Raw genomic sequence first — 18,467 nt, forward strand, 5'->3', positions numbered from 1 at the left:
TAAGTAACTCCCTGAGGTCAGATGCCCTAATAAGAGGTGAGGCCAGGATCTGAAAGTTATCTCATAATCTTAATTAAGACTAGGTAACTATTGTTGAAAATGAAGCAGAGAAACAAGTAGGAATCTCTAAGAATCTTATCAAAGAGGTTACAGCCCAGGAGATCTAAGATAAGTGAAACCTCTAACTTTGACAAAGTTATTAAGTGAAGTCAGGAACTCAATGATGATCTAGAAAAACACAGGACAACTGCTGTGGGAGATGATGTCATGTAAAACTATAAAGAAAGTGGAGGCAAAACTACCCAATTACCCACCTATTTCCATTTTATCTGCTAGACCAAAAGAAGTTTCAAACTGGAAATGCTAGAACAATGGCTAAGAAAGCCCTGGGAGCTAATATAGAAAATAAAATCATAAAAGAACATCTGGATGCAGTAAATGAGTATAAACCTACTGGCCTAGAGATTCACATCCCAGGGTATGGGAGGAATGCATAGAAGCGATATCTGATGGTAAAAATAAATAAATAAATAAAATCATGAACAAACAGAAATTCCAGAACAAGTAATATTTTCACTCAAAGTTCAAAAATTAAAAAGTAAAAAAGTTCAGTCCACAGATGTAATCCCAAACCATGATCCTGTCCTTTTATCAGACTTATAGGAACAGCAAAAATACGTGAGAAAGCCTTTCATGATAACCTTGGACCTGACAGGGTAGTTCCATAGTTTGTGCCTTGTTGAATAACTAATCTTAAAATTAATAGCCTGAAAGGTGGTTTTCAGGGTTACACACTGAGTACTATCGTGGGCCCCGCCTATTCAACATTTTACCAATGATTTGGGTGAAGACGCTTATAAAATCTGTAGATTTTGCAAGGTTAATATAGTTGATAATATGATTTAGATTCAAAAGGATGGGCTATAACACTTGACTATATAAAACGGAATAAGAATGTATTAAATTATTTTTAAAATTATATATGTATACACATAATTTTTGACCTTGCATAAATTTATGTGAAATAGGAAACAAAAACAAGACAAACTATTACATTGAGGTGACTTAATATAAGCCACTATTGTGAACATCTGCTAAAACAAACTAATGCATTTATAGAAAGTCAAGACCACAATGAGGTAATGAGATAAGTTCGTGTCAGAGGGACCATGAGCAACCAGATACAAGGGGGATATACTAGCTTGGTGCAAAAGTAATTGCGATTTTTGCCATTGAAAGGGTAAAAACCGCAATTACTTTTGCAACAACTTAATACAACATGAAAGGAGAGAAAAGAGACCAAATGTATACAAAGACTCCTGTGGTTGTTTAGTCCACAAAAAAAAAAAAAAATAGAGTCTTAGGGAGGGCATGATCTTAGTTTCCAAATATCTGAGTTGTAGAAAAAGAACTATATCAATATACTTTCAAGATGATTTCCTTTATAATCCCTAGAAATAGTAAAACAAGAGCAAATGGTGATGTCTACAGCCTCACCAAAAAGTGAGCTCCTCATCTCTGGAAGTAGCTAAGTGAAGGCTGGATCAAGCTCTACCAGGGAAGTCATGGAGGAGAGCACTGAACATAATGAGGGAGTGGGAAAAGATATATTAATTATGTTTTATGGCTCTACGATAATCCCAACAGCCATCTAGTTTTTCTCTTTTTCACAGACACTCCTATACACTACTCAGCTATGTTATTTTAATGGTGATCTATACTTCAGTAGACGGGAGGGTATGATGATATAAAACAGAAATTAAATAATAATTAGAAAGCTGAATTTAGATCATGTGCAAAGCTCCAACATTTTCTTTTTTCTTTTCTTTTTTTTTTTTTTTTTTTGAGACGGAGTTTCACTCTTGTTGTGCAGGCTAGAGTACAATGGCACCATCTCAGCTCACCACAACCTCCGCCTCCCGGGTTCAAGCAATTCTCCTGCCTCAGCCTTCCTGAGTAGCTGGAATTACAGGCATGTGCCACCACGCCCGGCTAATTTTGTATTTTTAGTAGAGACAGGGTTTCTCCATGTCGGTCAGGCTGGTCCCGAACTCCGGACCTCAGGTGATCCTCCCGCCTTGGCCTCCCAAAGTGCTGGGATTACAGGCGTAAGCCACTGCGCCCGGCCGCAAACCTCCAACATTTTCTAGAGCAATACTTGGCTGTAAGATATTGCATAGTTAATACGACTTCACTGAAGGAATAGCTTTTTCCATGGACAAGATGGTGAATTAACATTTTTATCATGGCTAAAGTATACTGCCTACTTTATATTTTCAACGCCTTACTTTAAAAAAAACCAAGACAAGTTTTTTTTGTTTTTTTTTGTTTTTTTTTGTTTTCTATACCATGGTGTCATAACACCACTTACAACAAATGCCAAGTCTTTCTGAAGGAGGAATCTTTACTTGAAATATGCAAGCACTATTTAGCATTGTTTTGTTTTTAAAGATTGGTCACAGTGTGAATGCCCTTCCTACTGCAGGGGATAATGTTAAGAAATTTAACTTGAAAAGAGTTTCCAGCTCATCTTCACAATGTAATGATACTCCTGCTAAGTCTGGATTTAATTACAAATCAACAAAGAATGAGGAAGGGAGGAAGTTCAACATGGCTCCCCATCACTCCATCACTGCCCCCCACCATCACTGACTTTTTTTCTTTCTTTTGGTCTGTGTACATCACAGCCCAGAGTGATTAATAACCTGTGCAAACAGACTATTCTAGAGATCACAAACTGCCTTTTTCTGTGTGTGTTAGTTTAGTAGTTGAGGCTATTTGAGGGATCTTAAAAGCACTACAGAATAAAACCTTTGTTTAAAGGAATATCGGGCACAGATTCTTCTCTCTGCTCCTCCTCACAGAAACTTAAGCAGAACTCCTTGAACTCTGACCTGAAAGGACGCTTGGGTCAGCCACATCTAATCCTAGACTCTGAGATTAGTTTAATGATATTTGAGGCAGCTGGGATGAACCCAGCTAAATTCTGTGTGCTAAATTCTGTGGCCACATTGTAAAATGAGTCATTGTTCCTCGGGGAGAGTCTTCTTGTCTCAATTGGTATTTGAGTTAAACTGATATTACTGATCACCTATTCCTCAGTACAGATAACTTCACAATTAGAACAGGAGTACATTTGTGCCTCGTTGATCAGAACTCCATATTTTCCAGTATCATCTGCAAACCTTGCTTCTTCGCAAAAAATTGAACAAAGAATGCTGGCAATTAATGTCTTTACCAATCTCCAATCTTGAGGTGAGACCACAACTCTGAAATGTTGCCCTCCCAGCGCACGCTACTATAACTTTATGGAATATTTAGATTGCAGTTCAAGAAGAATGAATGCTCCATTATTTTAACAGTCTGCTCAGGGTGGTCACTCTATTTTTTAATGCAATGTACTACACAGGAATGACATCATAAGGGTATCATAAAAGCAAGTGTTAAAACCTATGATGAATTTTCCTATTATAACTAAGCAGCTAATAGTGTAAAAGTAGATCAAAACATACATTTATGGTCTGGTAAGACATTTACATTCACCTTTGTAAATATAAAAATAAAGTTTTTTTTAAAACCATAAAATTCCCTTCTGCCTCTTACTTGTAAAGCTCCATTAGTGATCACAGACACCTGGAATTTTTTTTTCCTAATTAAAGAAGCCCAAGTAGTAATTGCTAATACATGGCATTTATTAATCTTGGGTAGTTTCTTTCTTATGATAAGGATCTCATTTGGACAATACTACTATGTATCAAATACAAATCACACTGAATCATTTACTCTCCTCTGCCACATACATTCCATTTTCATTCTCTAACAAAGCTTCCTTTGCCACCTGTGACGGGTTCTTTCCAAGTCACTATGTCCAGAAAAAAGAAAAAAAAAAAAAATTCACCTCTTTGTCCTCCCACTCTCACTTAAAACTTAACTCCATCCTTACAAGCAGAATGTACCATCCAGAAACTCGCCAAGTACATCTATGCATGACGATCCCCCTTAACTTTCCTTGCTTATATCTACCTTCAAACAAGAAGTGAAAAAGAGGGAGAGAGTATTACCACTAAATGACTATTGCTCTATTTATTAACATTTTTTCAACGAATACTATTTTAATATGAATACCTACCATGTTCTAGGAACTATGCTATGAACATTGTTTGGATGTCATTTTCTCCTCACAACATTATGAGGGTAGATGTTATTTTTATTTACAGATAAACTGAAGTTCATGGAGGTCAACATACACACCCAATGTCACAAAACAAGCAAGTGACAGAGTCAAGGTATAAATCCCTACTGTGTGACTCCAAAGCTAGTGCTTTCACCACTATAATGGTTATAGTGCAGTCTGGACTGTATGGCAAGTCATAGGTGTGGACAGGACTAGTTCCTAGACTAGAACAACTCACAGAACAGGGAGAAAAGAGATAAGTAAACAGATAAATGATAACCCACTGTGTTAACAACTGTTACAAAGATAAGTGTTATAGGGGCATAAAGAAGAAAGTAACTAATGCTATTTGGTGAACAGTGGGATAAGGGGATGATTCTCCCAGGCTGATAACCTCAATTGTAATTGAATCTTAAGTTTCTCAGGTGAACTGAAGAGGGGGAAGCATTTCAGAAAACGCCTAAGGACAGAGATTCAAGAAAAAATATGGGGCATCTGACAAACTACAGAAAATTCAGCTCTGAAGGAGGGTGGGGAGTGCGAGGAGTCACATGGTTGAAGGGAATGAAAAGGAAGACCAGAGCCTGACTGCCAGGCCCAAAATCTGATGAATAGAAAAGCACTGTTGACTGGGGAGTGTGAAGCTATTTGAAGCAAATGAGAGCTAGATTGTAAGGACACAGTGATGCATACTTGGAAAATATTTAACAAGGAGGATATAAAATATGGTGGTAGCCTCAGTCAGGAAGCAAATACTAAGAATTCCTGGTTTTGTCTGCAGTAGTCCTGACTGAGCACTTCTGTATTACAAACAGAAGAAGCCAATGAAGAGTGAGAAATAGAAGATACAAGAATTCTGGGGACAAATGATGAAGCATAACCCCAAATAAAGCTGAGAGAGTCAGCAATGGAAGGAGCAAGGAGAGAGGCTGCCCTTGGGCAGGGGAAGGAACCCCTCACCACACGCCCCTCCTGAATGCACAGCACACAAAGACTAAAGCGTCTGCTTCAGCATGGCATTACTTTGTCTTCTGTGCTGTTCTTTATTTTTCCTATGTGTCTTTGTCTTCTCTCCCCAACTAGGTAATAAGTCCCCCAAAGGTAGTGGTCATATTTTCTATTTCTTTGTATCTCCCTCCATATTAAAACAATGTGGACACATATGAACCAGTCTTTTATCACAATGATTTGAGAAGGAAATCAGGTAAAAAAAAAACAAAAAACAAAAAACAAACAAACAAAAAAACCTCCCTAATGGGGACAAGTCACAGATGAGAAATAAAAACTGTGTATCTTCACTTTGTAGGGAACAAACTGCCCCAGATGAAACTGTAAAATCCATGGAGAATGTAGCTAACTATTTATCAGGAAAGGAGTGTAATAAGTTGTCACATCATAAATAATCCTGTTAGAGCAGGGGCTTAGGGATGAATCTGTTATCTCTTATTTCTTTTACAGTAAATAAATGCAAGTACTGTTTAGTTGGTAACAGAAAACACCAGTGCCAAGGAATATTACAGAATTTTTTTTAGCTAATATATTTCAAATTAATACATGAAATATGTTTGCTAGTTCTTTGGTTCCTCAAATTAGGAGAAAACATTTTTTAATAAAATGTATATCTTCTCATAATCTATATGTTTATTTTTGTAACTTACTCAGTGTTTAATCTGAAAATAGTACTCCGAAGCACATATGTAATCTTTTCTTAGCATCACAGCTTTTGGCTTACAGGCTTTGAAGTCCCCAATTTTATAGATAAGAAAACTGAGGTTCAAAGAAGTAGCTTCTCTCAACACATGCATGTTTAATAATGATGCCGGAGCTAAAGCCTGGTTTTCCTAACTCAGTGTCCCATATTCTTTCATTAAACAAACCTAAAATGGAGACTGCTCTCTGAGATTATTTTCTCTGAATCTAATCAGGACTCCTTGCTGGCACTGTTAGCTTTCTGCCCCTCTGCTCTCTGCCTTCTCTGATTTCCCATGATAGATTCACAAATAAGCTGTGGCCAACAGTGCTCCTTACCTACCCAATGTCCACTTTTCCTACTAGAGAGTCGCTTTTTTTTTTTTTTTTCTGAGCAGCATTGTGTCAAATAAAAAACTTGATTTCCCAGGCTCTCTAGTCCTGAGACTGAGATAAAGACAAAGTCTTAAGGAAGGCTGTCCATTCCAGAATAATAAAGGCAGAGCTTCACGAGAGGCATTTGGCCTTCTGCTCTTCTTTCCCTACCCTCTTCCTGCCTGGAATCTCAACTGGGTATCTGGAGATCCAGCAGCCATTTTTCAATCTAAGAGATGCCAGAAGATAGCCAGAGCCCAGGTCCCTGGCGGCATTGTGAAGATGCTGCACTGGACACCTACACGAGACAAATAAAACTCCTGTTTGGTTAAGCCGCTGTTGAAGAGTTTCTGCTACATATAGTCACTTGCAATCTTAAATGATTAATACCTAAGCTAACATTTTAATAAGGACTGACATATTCCTAACATGTCACTCCACTGACTCAAACCCTTTCAGTGGTGGTCTCAAGCAGGAGACCACTAAATAAAACATTAACTTTTTAGTTTGGCATCCAAGGTACTTTACAATAGATTCAAGTTCTGATACCTCTTAAACATATCCTGCATACCAGCCAAGCAGAATTCACTGCCAACTGTCTGTCTCACCTTCTCTCTGCCCATCAAAATCTTGCAGTCTTGTCAAGGCCCCTCTCACACATCACCTCCCTCATCCATCTAAACTGATCCTTCCAATCTGATGAGATTTCTCCCTCTTTTGAATTTTCAAAGCAATTTTGTCTTCATGATAGCCACGGTACTTGTGTGCTCTCGTAGGCAAGGGCACCTTCAGGTCAGGGATCTTGTTGTACTGGTACGGGAACTCTCCTCTTTCCCCATCCACCCCCCACCAGGGCAATGCCCAATACACAGCAGATGATTAATAGTCACTTATTAAATTGAATTAATAAATACATACCCCTCTCCTAATGCATCTCTGACTGATCCGGAAAGAGTCCATGCCAGCACTCTAATGACTTAGGAGGGAGCTTGTGTGACAGCAGGAGTGAGCTGAGCTGCAGTTCAAATTGCTGTATTGTTTTGACACCAGAACAAGTGATAATGGGCTGTGACTCGGTGTGTCAAAGCGCTCACTCAAGACTCCGGTGCCAGCCTTTCCTGCTTGTCACGGGCCCCAGTCTGCAAAAGCCTTTCCTTTCGAAGCACCATGTGGCATCTTCTTCAGAAAAGCCTATAGCTGGTCACTCTTCTCCCCAAGGATCACAAACAAAACAACGACTGGGAGCAAGGTCTCACTGGGATCTGACTGCAACACTTGTCCCTCCAGGAATGATCACTGGCACGTGGTAAGAGGGGGTGAATGGGCAGCAGGCTGTGACAGAGAGCCAGGACAAGGCAAAACGGCAGTCTTCCCATAAAGCAAAGGCCACCCCACATGCAGCACTGAAGAAGCATGAAGTTCAGGTTGCAAAACATCGGGGAAAATAAAAGAAGGAAAAGTTTATAGAATGAGTGCAACAGAGAATATGTAATTTAAATACAACCTAAAACACAAAACAACATAAGAATGAGCACCACAATTATGTGCGTATTAAAATATAGGACCTGAAGCAAGAAACGCTCTATCCTTCACAGTACAGACTTATAACACATACTTCACATATGTGTGACTACAAGCCCAAAAGGAAGAAGTTATCTTCAGGAAGAGAATAGTTGTAAGCTTGTTATCTGACCAGTGGCCATGGTCTCAAAGAAATAACCATTCAAAATGACTAAAACAAAGTAACTGTTGTACACAATTAATTGAAATGGAGACCAAGTCATAAATTAGTATAAATCTCCAAGAATAAATTGCTAATCATTAGCCATATAAATCATTTAAAGTGCTATATAGTATTGTTTTAACTTATTAGCTGCTATGTATAATATCATGTTTAAAATTGTATTGCTATAAGAAGAATTTAATACCAATAGTGCATCCTGGATAAAACATAACTGAGTTTACATTAAGATAACATATATGGATATCCAAATTACATTAGAATACTGCAGATGAGCTATTTAATTTGATGGAAAAGTGAATACTTCATTCATCAGAAGTTTGATTAAATAACTAAATCCCTGATTTATCCAATGAGGTTGTGCCTGGTGAGTGACCCGTGGCCCATCACCTCTCTAATGCCTTCCCACAAGGGTCTACTGTGGCCACGCAAAGCTCTACGATTAGAAGCTAGATCTGGGGCACCTGCACTGTGACCCTCCTGGCCCAGCCCTTCTCTTTCCTGGCATGATGCTCCACCCTGCTCTCCAAGACTTCTGCGAGTATCCTCCAGGGCCAGTAACACTCCATGTGAGCTGTCCTTCTCTGTAAGGTTGTCCTCAGCCCCACCAAGCCTGTGTGCCAACTTGTAGCATCATCATTGCCCTCACTGCCACTGCCACTGCCAAGGGCCACAGGGTAGAGAGGTGGCTGTCAAAGGCATAGGCCTCAGCAGGGGTGAGTACAAAGGAAAGGAAAAGTAGAACTACTGGACCCAAGACTCAGCAGAAGTTACATTACATTATTTCGCACAAGGACTATTATATTTCTATTTTAGAGTGTTACAGTTATTTCCATACAGGTGTGGTTCTATTATACCAAAGGAGGTTATTTTGTTTATGATCTAGTGGATTATACTTTGTAGGAAACTGAATGAATTTTAAAAATATACAATTTTGAAAACATTATGTACAAATCTATGAATGGGTAATTATCAAACAGACTATCCACTAATAATTATATTTGACCTTGAGGTACACCACACAATTTTTGATACAGATTTACCTTCGTAATTACACTTTTCTTAGAGTATTATTGGCTTTCAGTTGGTAATTCTAATATTAAAATAAACACACACCAAAAACACAGGAGGACCACACATCTACTAGTTGGCAGGAGAGAGGTCTTCTTCAAATGCTATGTTTACCACAGGTAATTCATGTTTAATTTTCTTTAAGAATAGAATCTGCTCAAAAATCAGGAAGACAGGAGGGGTTTAAATACTAACAAAAGGGAGAGAAACAGTAAAGTAGAAGACTGGAGAGGTGAAGAAAAAGTCAATAAATCAGAATAAATTAAACTACTACTTTTGAATTCCCCTCCATGTCATTTCTTACTGCCTTGTTTACAGGCTAATTTCATTATGCTGGAACACAACTGACTATAACATAACATGGGCCAAGTGCGGTGACTCACACCTGTAATCCCAGCACTTTGGGAGGCTGAAGCAGGCGGATCATGAGGTCAGGAGATCGAGACCATCCTGGCTAACATGGTGAAACCCTATCTCTACTAAAAATACAAAATATTAGCCAGGTATGGTGGCAGGTGCCTGTGGTCCCAGCTACTCCGGAGGCTGAGGCAGGAGAATGGCGTGAACCCGGGAGGCGGAGCTTGCAGTGAGCGGAGATCACGCCACTGCACTCCGGCCTGGGGGACAGAGTGAGACTCCGTCTCTCACACACACACACACACACACACACACACACACACTCACAAAAAAAAATAAATAAAATAACATGACCTGCTGTCTTTAGGTGTGCTGTGCGCTTAAATCATATAAATATCACCATTTACTTTTTTTTTTTAAGCCATGATCATTTAGGCCAGGTAAAAGTGCACCAAAATAATATAATTCGGCATGAAGCTACCTCCTGTGAAATGCTCTAGGAGAGAGGATAAAAAGGAACCATGATTCAAGGGTGACAAGTTCAGTTCTCATTACATTCAAATTTTCCAGCATACAAATACCTACTGACAACGCATCCCCAGAGGAAATCATTTACATCCCTTCTGCTCCACATAGTCCCAGATGTGCTTTGAGGCAGTTCCACAAGTGGAACCACTTGAGAAGAAGAGAAAAGATATGAGCAACTATTTCAGAGGAGGAATGGAAGGGAAAATCATCTGTCTTCTCAACACGACTGTGGGAAGAGTTGGATTAAATAAAATGGCTTCACTGTAGTCAAGCTGCATTTGTACTGAGGTAACTCAATATTTAGAACTTTAAGAAGAAAAACCAAGGAACAGAAAAAAAATTTGTCCCAAGACTATAACTCACTAATTACAAAGCTATCAGTGAATATTTAAAGTTTCATTTGTCATTAGTTAAGGATATTTCATTGTTTAAAATACACAATTTTAACCAGATGATGGGGGTGGAAGTTTTATTATATTGTCAGCCTGTGTAAATATTTAAGTACTCTGAAGAAAAGGGGAAAGAAGCAATGTAGTGCAGAACAACTTATCCACAAAAAAGAAAATAACATTCTTCTAAGTTGATGCAGTCATGGAATAGGATATTGTCAATTTAAAAACATGAATACCAGAAGACCTAGTCTACCTATACCTTAAGAAAATTTAAGATTGGTACTTCACATCCAGTATCTCAGAATAAGGGCTCATATGAATTGAAGCTACAGAAAACAAAAGAAATTGACACACTGTATCTGGCTTCTGCATTGTAAAGTAATAATAACAACAACTGGAATCATAATAGCAACTAACATGATTCAGCCCTTACCCTGTGTCAAGGGCAATGTAAAGCACTTTATTTGGATTGTTTCATTTAATCTTCCTAACAACCCTACAAGGGGGAATTATAATTACTACCCTGATTTCATAGAAGAGGAAACTGAGGCAGAGAATCGCAGAGCTGGGAAGTGGGGAGCACCAAGATGAAAGGCCCGGCAGTCAGAGTCCACAACGCCTAACCACTGCACTATACTACAATGCCCTCAGTCAGAACCAGATTGTAAAAGACACAGAACTAGAGGGCCAACGATCTGTTAAGTGAGCGAAGTCATCGTGATCAATTGCTTATCCACTTCTTAGGGGAAAGAAACTAGTCAATCAATTTGTTCTTCACCATCTACGTTTCACTATATTCAAAATTAAAAGGAAATTATTTTAAAAACTAATATAAAATGTGAAATTTTTTCACATTTTATTAGTTTATTAGTTTTATTTTAAAAACTAATGTAAAATGTGAATTTATTTTCAAATCTTAACGTGGTTTGCTTCTACATCCAAACATTTTTGAACAATTCGATTTGTTTGATTTGGTTTAGTAAATTTTAACTCTTATTAAATAAACACTTTCAGTCAATGTTTTGTTACACGTAATAGAAAATGTACCCAAAAAGAAAGCATTACATAAAGCATCTAATACAAGTCTTAGTTATATAGAATAATGCCCCCTGTGTGTGAGAATTCATCAGGCTGGAATCAGATGCAAAAGAGACTATGATCTGCTGTACGGAGTTCCTTTTTTCCCTCTTTGACCCAAAGATCTGGTCTCCACTCCCATTCCTGCCCACTCATTACAAATCAAATGTCATCGATCCCAAAAGGCATCGAGTGAGTGATTCTGGGCAGCTCAGTGAGAAACCCATCACTGCAGAGCAAAACCAACACGATACAGTGCCACTGGTAATCGACCCACATCAGCTCTCTCCCACACAGACAACCATGCTCTCGTTTTCCCAGAATCACCAGTACTACAAACAGAACTATTTTGGTTCCACACATTTCAAAGCCCTTTTAAAATTCAAGACAAACAAATGACTGTGGCAGCTTAGGGACACAGGTCCTTTGAGAAGTGCTTCAACTCACAACATCCAGATTTTGAGTCTTCACCTTCCACCACCACAGAGGCCTAGAACACACTGTTTTTAGGCCAGTGGGAAGTAAAAAGAATCCTTAGTCAGTTTTACTATGAATATATTACCCTTCAGCAGAAGTCAACACATATCTTCCAGGAAACTATTAAACGCACTAAGAGAGAGAATTTTCTAAATGGCACCCCCAGTGCCCTGAAAATAATCCATTCTCCCCACAGAATAAAACAACTTATTTCTAAGGAGTAAGTTTATGCTAAAGATGGTCAATTAGAAAGATGTACCTGCATTCCATGACTTTAGAAGTTCAACCTTGGCTTTCTTGACAGCATGTTTTTTAAAAATTTTAGCATGGGTTATAAATTACCTCGGGATGTCCATGTGAAAGCAGTGCCGCCTGGGAACGGTTCCTGTCATCTTGTAGCATACTCAGCTGCTCCCTCCGCACAAATGGCACTTGTAATGAAAACACCGCCATATATCTTGATTTGTCAGAGAACAAATCAGTTTTATCTGTTCATTTTGTGGTTTCATGTCATAGGTATTTCAGAAAACATAATTTATAATTCCTCATGCAATTATATATGAAATTAAATCATCTCACTTTTCCAGAAGCATCAAAGTATTTCAGATTAAGTAGAATGCATTTGTAATGTCTTTGAAGTTCTCTTCCTCTCTCCCTTCCTCCCAATCCACCCCCTGAAGAAAAAAATAAATAAAGGAAAAGAGAGAGAAATATTTAGCATTTTAATGAGTTAATCTAGTTATATTAGGTCAGGACTTACAGGGACTTTTATTCGTATTCTTAATGATAACCCACTATTACAATAATGTCTTAATCATGCCCTAGAGAGGCAGAGGGGTGTGGTGGCTAAGCCACTGTCTCAAGAAACAGAATGCCTGGGTTTGAACATTTAGGTCCTGGCTCCATCACTTACTTGCTGTGTACCCTGGGGTATGTCACTTAGCCCATCTGTGCCTCAGTTTCCTCAGCTGTTAAATGAAGATAATTATGCTTATGCCACACGAGGTTTGCGAACATTAAATGATTTAAGATGTGTAACACACTTAGAACAGTGCCTCACACATAGTAAGCTCTATGTTTCCTAGCATTATCATTAGCAACAATACCCATACCACTCCTTTTTTCTTGTTTTTAGGACTAAATGGACATAAGAATCTAGTGAGACTATGTCTTAAGGCATTCCAATAGGAGATGAGAAAAAAACATCCTACTGGTGGGTGCTTGTTTGGATGAAAAATTGGTTATTTTAGGGAACTCCAAGACAATGTGGCCAGCATCCCTTATTGAGTACTAAGTGACACCTCAGTCTCCTGGTAGAATGTGCCACCCCAAATGTTTTAATCCCCTGATTTACAGCAGGGTTGGGCCTATTCCTTTTAATTTACATGGTTAAATTAATATCTGCCAAGAGACTCAGACAAATTCATAATCTTGTCATTAGCCACAACAGGAAATTCCTCCTTAATAAGATGGAAAAGCAACTGATGATCTTAATTGCATTAGTTTGAAGTGCAAATGGGTGCATTTTAATATCTAGTGGGGGTCACATGTAAAAAAGGAACATAGCAAATTATAATGTAATATGTTAAATCGATATCTCATTTGTATACTTATTGTATACTTATTTAATTATGAAACATTGGTTTCATAACTAATATTTCTTTCACATAAATTGATATTTTTGGTTACATGAATATATTTTAATAGATAATTTGAGTTCTATAAATGCTAGCCAATTATATCTATTATGAAAACCCAGGCAAATACTTACTGAAAACAAATACTCCTCTCTATCTTGGGACTACCAACATACTCACATAGGAAGAGAACGATCCCAGTATCTGAGGATAGGCCTCAGTATGAGCCGCATGACTCCAGAAATACACTCAGAAGGGAGACAATCAGAATGGAGCCAATGACACTATTAGAAAAAGTTCAGAGTAGGTACTCAAATAGGTTCCAGGTAGGACCATCTCATACTTGGTATGCTATAAGAAAGACTATGAAAAGAAGCTGGGTCACGTTAGAATTATACAATACAGAAGGGAGACAGAGAGATGCTTATCTCTTTTCCATGCCCAGCAGGACCTGAGGTCCCATAGAAACAAACAAACAAAAAGGATTACAACCCATCACTCCAGCAAATATGGGAGATTTCATGATTTGTTCGACAAATTCCCTACCTCCAATAATGGGCTGTTCTCAAGCAATTCAAACATAGAAAAAAACCTTCCTTCAGAGTTTCCCCCAAAGACTCCTTCATAAAATCTCCATCCTACTGCACACAGCAAAAAACAGAGGCTAACAAATGGACAAACTGTCATCAGTTGTTAATTCCTGGGCAAAGAAACATCTTAACACAGGACTGTCATCGTGAAACTAGTAAGCAGTCAGTAACCAACCCGCACAATACTGCGTGTATGTTTTGTAAAGAGGAAAATGAACAAAATGTGGGTAAGAACAAGACAATTACAAAAACAAAATATGAAATCAATTAGCTAAAGTTTCCTGACACAATGTCTTTATAGCCTTCTTCCACATTAAAAACAAACGCTTAACTCCTTACCACAGACAAAGGTAAGAAAGCAAGCCAAATGAACATTAATGTCAAAAAAGTTTTTGTAAAAAAATCTGGCCTTGCACCTGCAATGAACAATGAAAATAAATTTATTTTCAAAGAACAACTGTATCTGCACATAAATGTTGACGTAAATTACTCTGATTGCCCAGCATGTGCTGGGTATATAGTATCTGCACTTAACACTTCCTAATTTACTGACCATTCCTAAATCCTTCCATTAATAGATAATCAAGAGAAAACTAATGTTTCTCATTTGATTTGAAAATCCAAAGCTTCACGGTTACGTAGTATTAAAATTAATAATATAGACTATGGAAGTTATACATTATAATGTTAAGTAAGAACTAGAAGTGAAAATATTGCATACATCTGACCTCCACTACGTAAAAGTATGCATAGAACTATAACCAAAGGGAAGCAACCCAAATATTACCTATTTTTATCTCTAGAATGGTTGGTTCATGAGGGAATTTTGTCTTCTACTTTTAAAAATTTTTAGTTTTTTTTTTTGTAATTAACAAGTATTATACTTTATAATTAGAAAAAACAAATTTAAACTTTATAAGTTTATAAGGAGCTTATATATACAAATATACAAAAATAGGGTCTAACAAAACAGGCTCTTATAAAATGCCATCCATGATAGCAAGTTCAATTTTGTCATTTAAGCTCAAAACAAGCTCCCCACTCAATTTTAAAATACATATCTTCATTAAGTTATCAATTTGAAAATGTCAACCTTCGGTTTATGCCTGTAAGGTATAATTACTATTCACTTGGATTCTAGACTCAATTGACAGATTAGAAATACAGTGCCACTAAATGGGATATTGGTTAAGTACACATTTTCTGAAGCCAATTTTTGGTGTTGGTCAAGCTATTTGCCTCTCTGAGCCTCAGCCTCTTCATTGGTAAAATATGGACAATAATATTACGTACTTCACAGGGTTATTATGAGCTTGAATGAGTTAGTAAATGTTAAGCCCTAGGACAGTGCCTGGTATATAAGAAGCACTCAATAAATATTAACAAATTTTATTATAGCCATAATATGTCTATTATGTAAAAGCTTCAATTTCCCTCACAAAAGCAAAACCATGACTTAATATAAGCTAATTGTAACAATGTTACATTTATCCTATTCCAAACATGAGTTAGTCCATGTAAGTAAATTTTTCAGATAATTCAGACAGCTGAACCTTAACCTTTTAAGTGTCCAATCATTTTAGTTTTAATCCTCAAAACATATTCAAAACCTGTCATTTTGTTCTGGTTAAGCAGCTTCTTTCCAGAAGTCTATATTTGCCAAAACCCTAGTTCTAGACGAAATGGAGAGAAGAGGATCAAAATAAGCATAATATAATGTTAGGTCCTACCTAACATTTTATTACATATTGAGTTGCTTATTTTCCATCTCCCCTACATATAAGAATGTAAGTATCTTGAGGGCAGAGACATTATGTATTTGGTTCTTTGCTGTGTCTCAACACCTAGAACAACATCTAACACATAATAGACACTTGAAAAATATTTGTTAAATGAGTGAATAAAATATGATGCTAGAGAACCACAGCCTCCAGGTGTGCTCTTTTAAAGTTTCTTAGCTTTCCTTTCTGCAAAGTAAGAGTGGTAAAATTCAACCACCTATCTTTCAATAGTGCTCAAAAGACTAAAGATCTTAATTTTAAAATCTTTAAAGAAAGATATATCAGAAGTGCATGGAAAAATGTATGCATGGAAAGATTTTTTTCATGCACTTCTGATATATCTTTCATTGCAGATTATCTAACATAGGCCCCCTTTAAAGAAGTCTCTTCACCCCCTTAAGGAATCACCGTATTCATAGTAATAAAACAAGACATTTAGAATTGCTATTTATTACCATGGCTCTGGAGCATAGATTCTCAAGAAGAACCACCATTTGAAGTTGGTGAGGCTGGTGAGGGCTTTCAATCAAGAACAGGCTGCCCTCTTAGCTCAGCTCCCATGATGGTAGGCTTTTACCAGGGAGATTATTAGACCTGAGCAGCCAAATCATTGAAGGCCAAGGTTTTAAATGTTCTAGGAGATTTTCAGCATCCTATTCTCTGATTTATAAAACTGACAGAAAGAGTATCTTGGAAGCATCTCTCTGCTGAGCGCAACCTGGAAGCTGAGGGGGACCTCTGCGCTGTCTGATTTGCATATAGCCCACAGCGATCTTTTCCAACTTGAGTAACAAGCTTGTAAAATAGTAGCACAGATTTGCTGTTCTGTCCTGAGTGATATTTCTTCAAACCAAAAAGAGGCAGACAGATAGAGGAAGAACCTTTGTGTTTTCTCTCATTGACATACAAATAATTTTGCCAAATACTGCTTTTGAGCAAGCAAGTGGCACGTGCTCTACAGCCTTGACTTAAGACCCTTTACAGCTCTCAAAGCTGCCATCAAAAGAAACCTGCATTTCAAAGTGCTGGGTTTTAAATGCTCATCACAGTCACGCAAAATCTATCTGGCACCTAGGAAACCAACCTAAGGTGCCCAACTGTGACCAAACAGCCAGCAGAATGCTCACTTTTCACTCCTGCCTCTCAAAACCACCACCGAGCTCTTCTTCTGTCATACTGTAAACAAAGGAAGTCCCCGACAGCTCTGGGTCCCACTTATATGCTAAGCTATTTGAACTAAGTAATAAATAAATTGAACACTTAATACTACAGAAATAAATGAATAGTTATGGAACTGGGATCCCATAGGAATGTAAAAATATAATAACACTGTATCAAAGAAAATCTGGACAAAGTATTAAAATGTAAAATATATACTAACATATGAAGTGAAAGACCTACAATTCTGAAATTTCACAATTTTGCAAATAACTGAAATTATAAGATTCAGATGATGAGAAATCTTTTCCAAAGGAAAAAAAGACAAAATAGGAAGCAGGGAATTTCTTAAAAAGCATTTTAATATTACAAAATGCTCTATGGCCAAGACTTTTTTACTGTCCATTATGAATGCCAAAATAGACTTTACTTAGAGTTGGAAAATAATGGTATAGCATCAAAACTAGGAGTTATATCAATGGACAAGTTTAAATGTAAAGAATATATCAAAAAAGTAACAGCACTATTGAAAAATTTAAGTGCTTTAACGAATGTGTTTTTTACCAAATGAGTTCCTTGAATGAAATCTGTACTACATCTTCTTAAACCACAAACAAACCTAGCTATTCAGCAAACAACTCTATTTTACATTTAAAATCTATAAGTTAGTAAAAGACAGTTATGCTTTAAAGGGGAGCAGAACAAAAAATTAAACATGATATATATCATATCAGAGTACCACAAATTTTAGGCTTGTAGGTTTCACACTTGAAACTCCTAGAAGTTATATATTTTAATGAGACATACCTTAATTATTAAATAAAGGTTGTATATATCTGTAGGTCAGTCTGTTTAACCTGGATCATTTTACGTGAATGTCTCAGATGACCAGTCCCTTCCAGGTCATGGGCATTAATGCCTAAGCTCTGGAGAAGAAGGACTTTAGGCAGTTTAAAAAATATATCAAAGTTAATTGCTACCATGGCCTATCATCCCAAGCAAAACAGATAACTGAAAACACTGCTAAATACTTTCCTCATCATGGAGGAAATAATAAGCTACATTTTTAAATGAATTATTTCCACTGATAGGACTTTTTTTAGTGGGCATTCAAGTAGAAAATTCAAGGTCAGAGGTAAAGTGAGATCGCACATTCATTTCTTGCCCTCAACAGCTTTTACCCCCAAGCACTACCTAGTCAACTGCTAGGTATCCCGAAAATCAAGTTAGAGTCTTCACCCTCTACAAATTAACATATAAACAATATTTCCATCAGCTGACCTTCATGTGAGCCATAATTATATATCTATATATGTTAAATACATATTTATGCCAACATAAACAAATATAAGGAATACAGAACTATAAATATTATATTAGATATTCAATCTTAACTATGTATTGGGATGAGGAAATAAGG

At 37.2% G+C, this 18,467-nt stretch overlaps 1 protein-coding gene across 6 annotated transcripts in view, besides 1 other annotated feature; it reads right to left on the reverse strand.

Moving 5' to 3' along the window:
* Positions 1–18,467, reverse strand: part of SATB2 (SATB homeobox 2) — a 201,767-nt gene that overhangs the window by 137,842 nt on the left and 45,458 nt on the right. The gene's annotated exons all lie outside the window — the stretch shown is intronic.
* Positions 16,598–17,173: an enhancer, noted in NCBI's record as "NANOG hESC enhancer chr2:200288662-200289237 (GRCh37/hg19 assembly coordinates)". NCBI's record gives its function as "activates a minimal SCP1, AML or CMV promoter by ChIP-STARR-seq in primed H9 embryonic stem cells {active_cell/tissue: H9 hESC(primed)}" and the evidence as "EXISTENCE:reporter gene assay evidence [ECO:0000049][PMID:30033119]".

This window comes from Homo sapiens, chromosome 2 (genome assembly GCF_000001405.40).
Source record: "Homo sapiens chromosome 2, GRCh38.p14 Primary Assembly".
NCBI classification, from domain to species: Eukaryota; Metazoa; Chordata; class Mammalia; order Primates; family Hominidae; genus Homo; species Homo sapiens.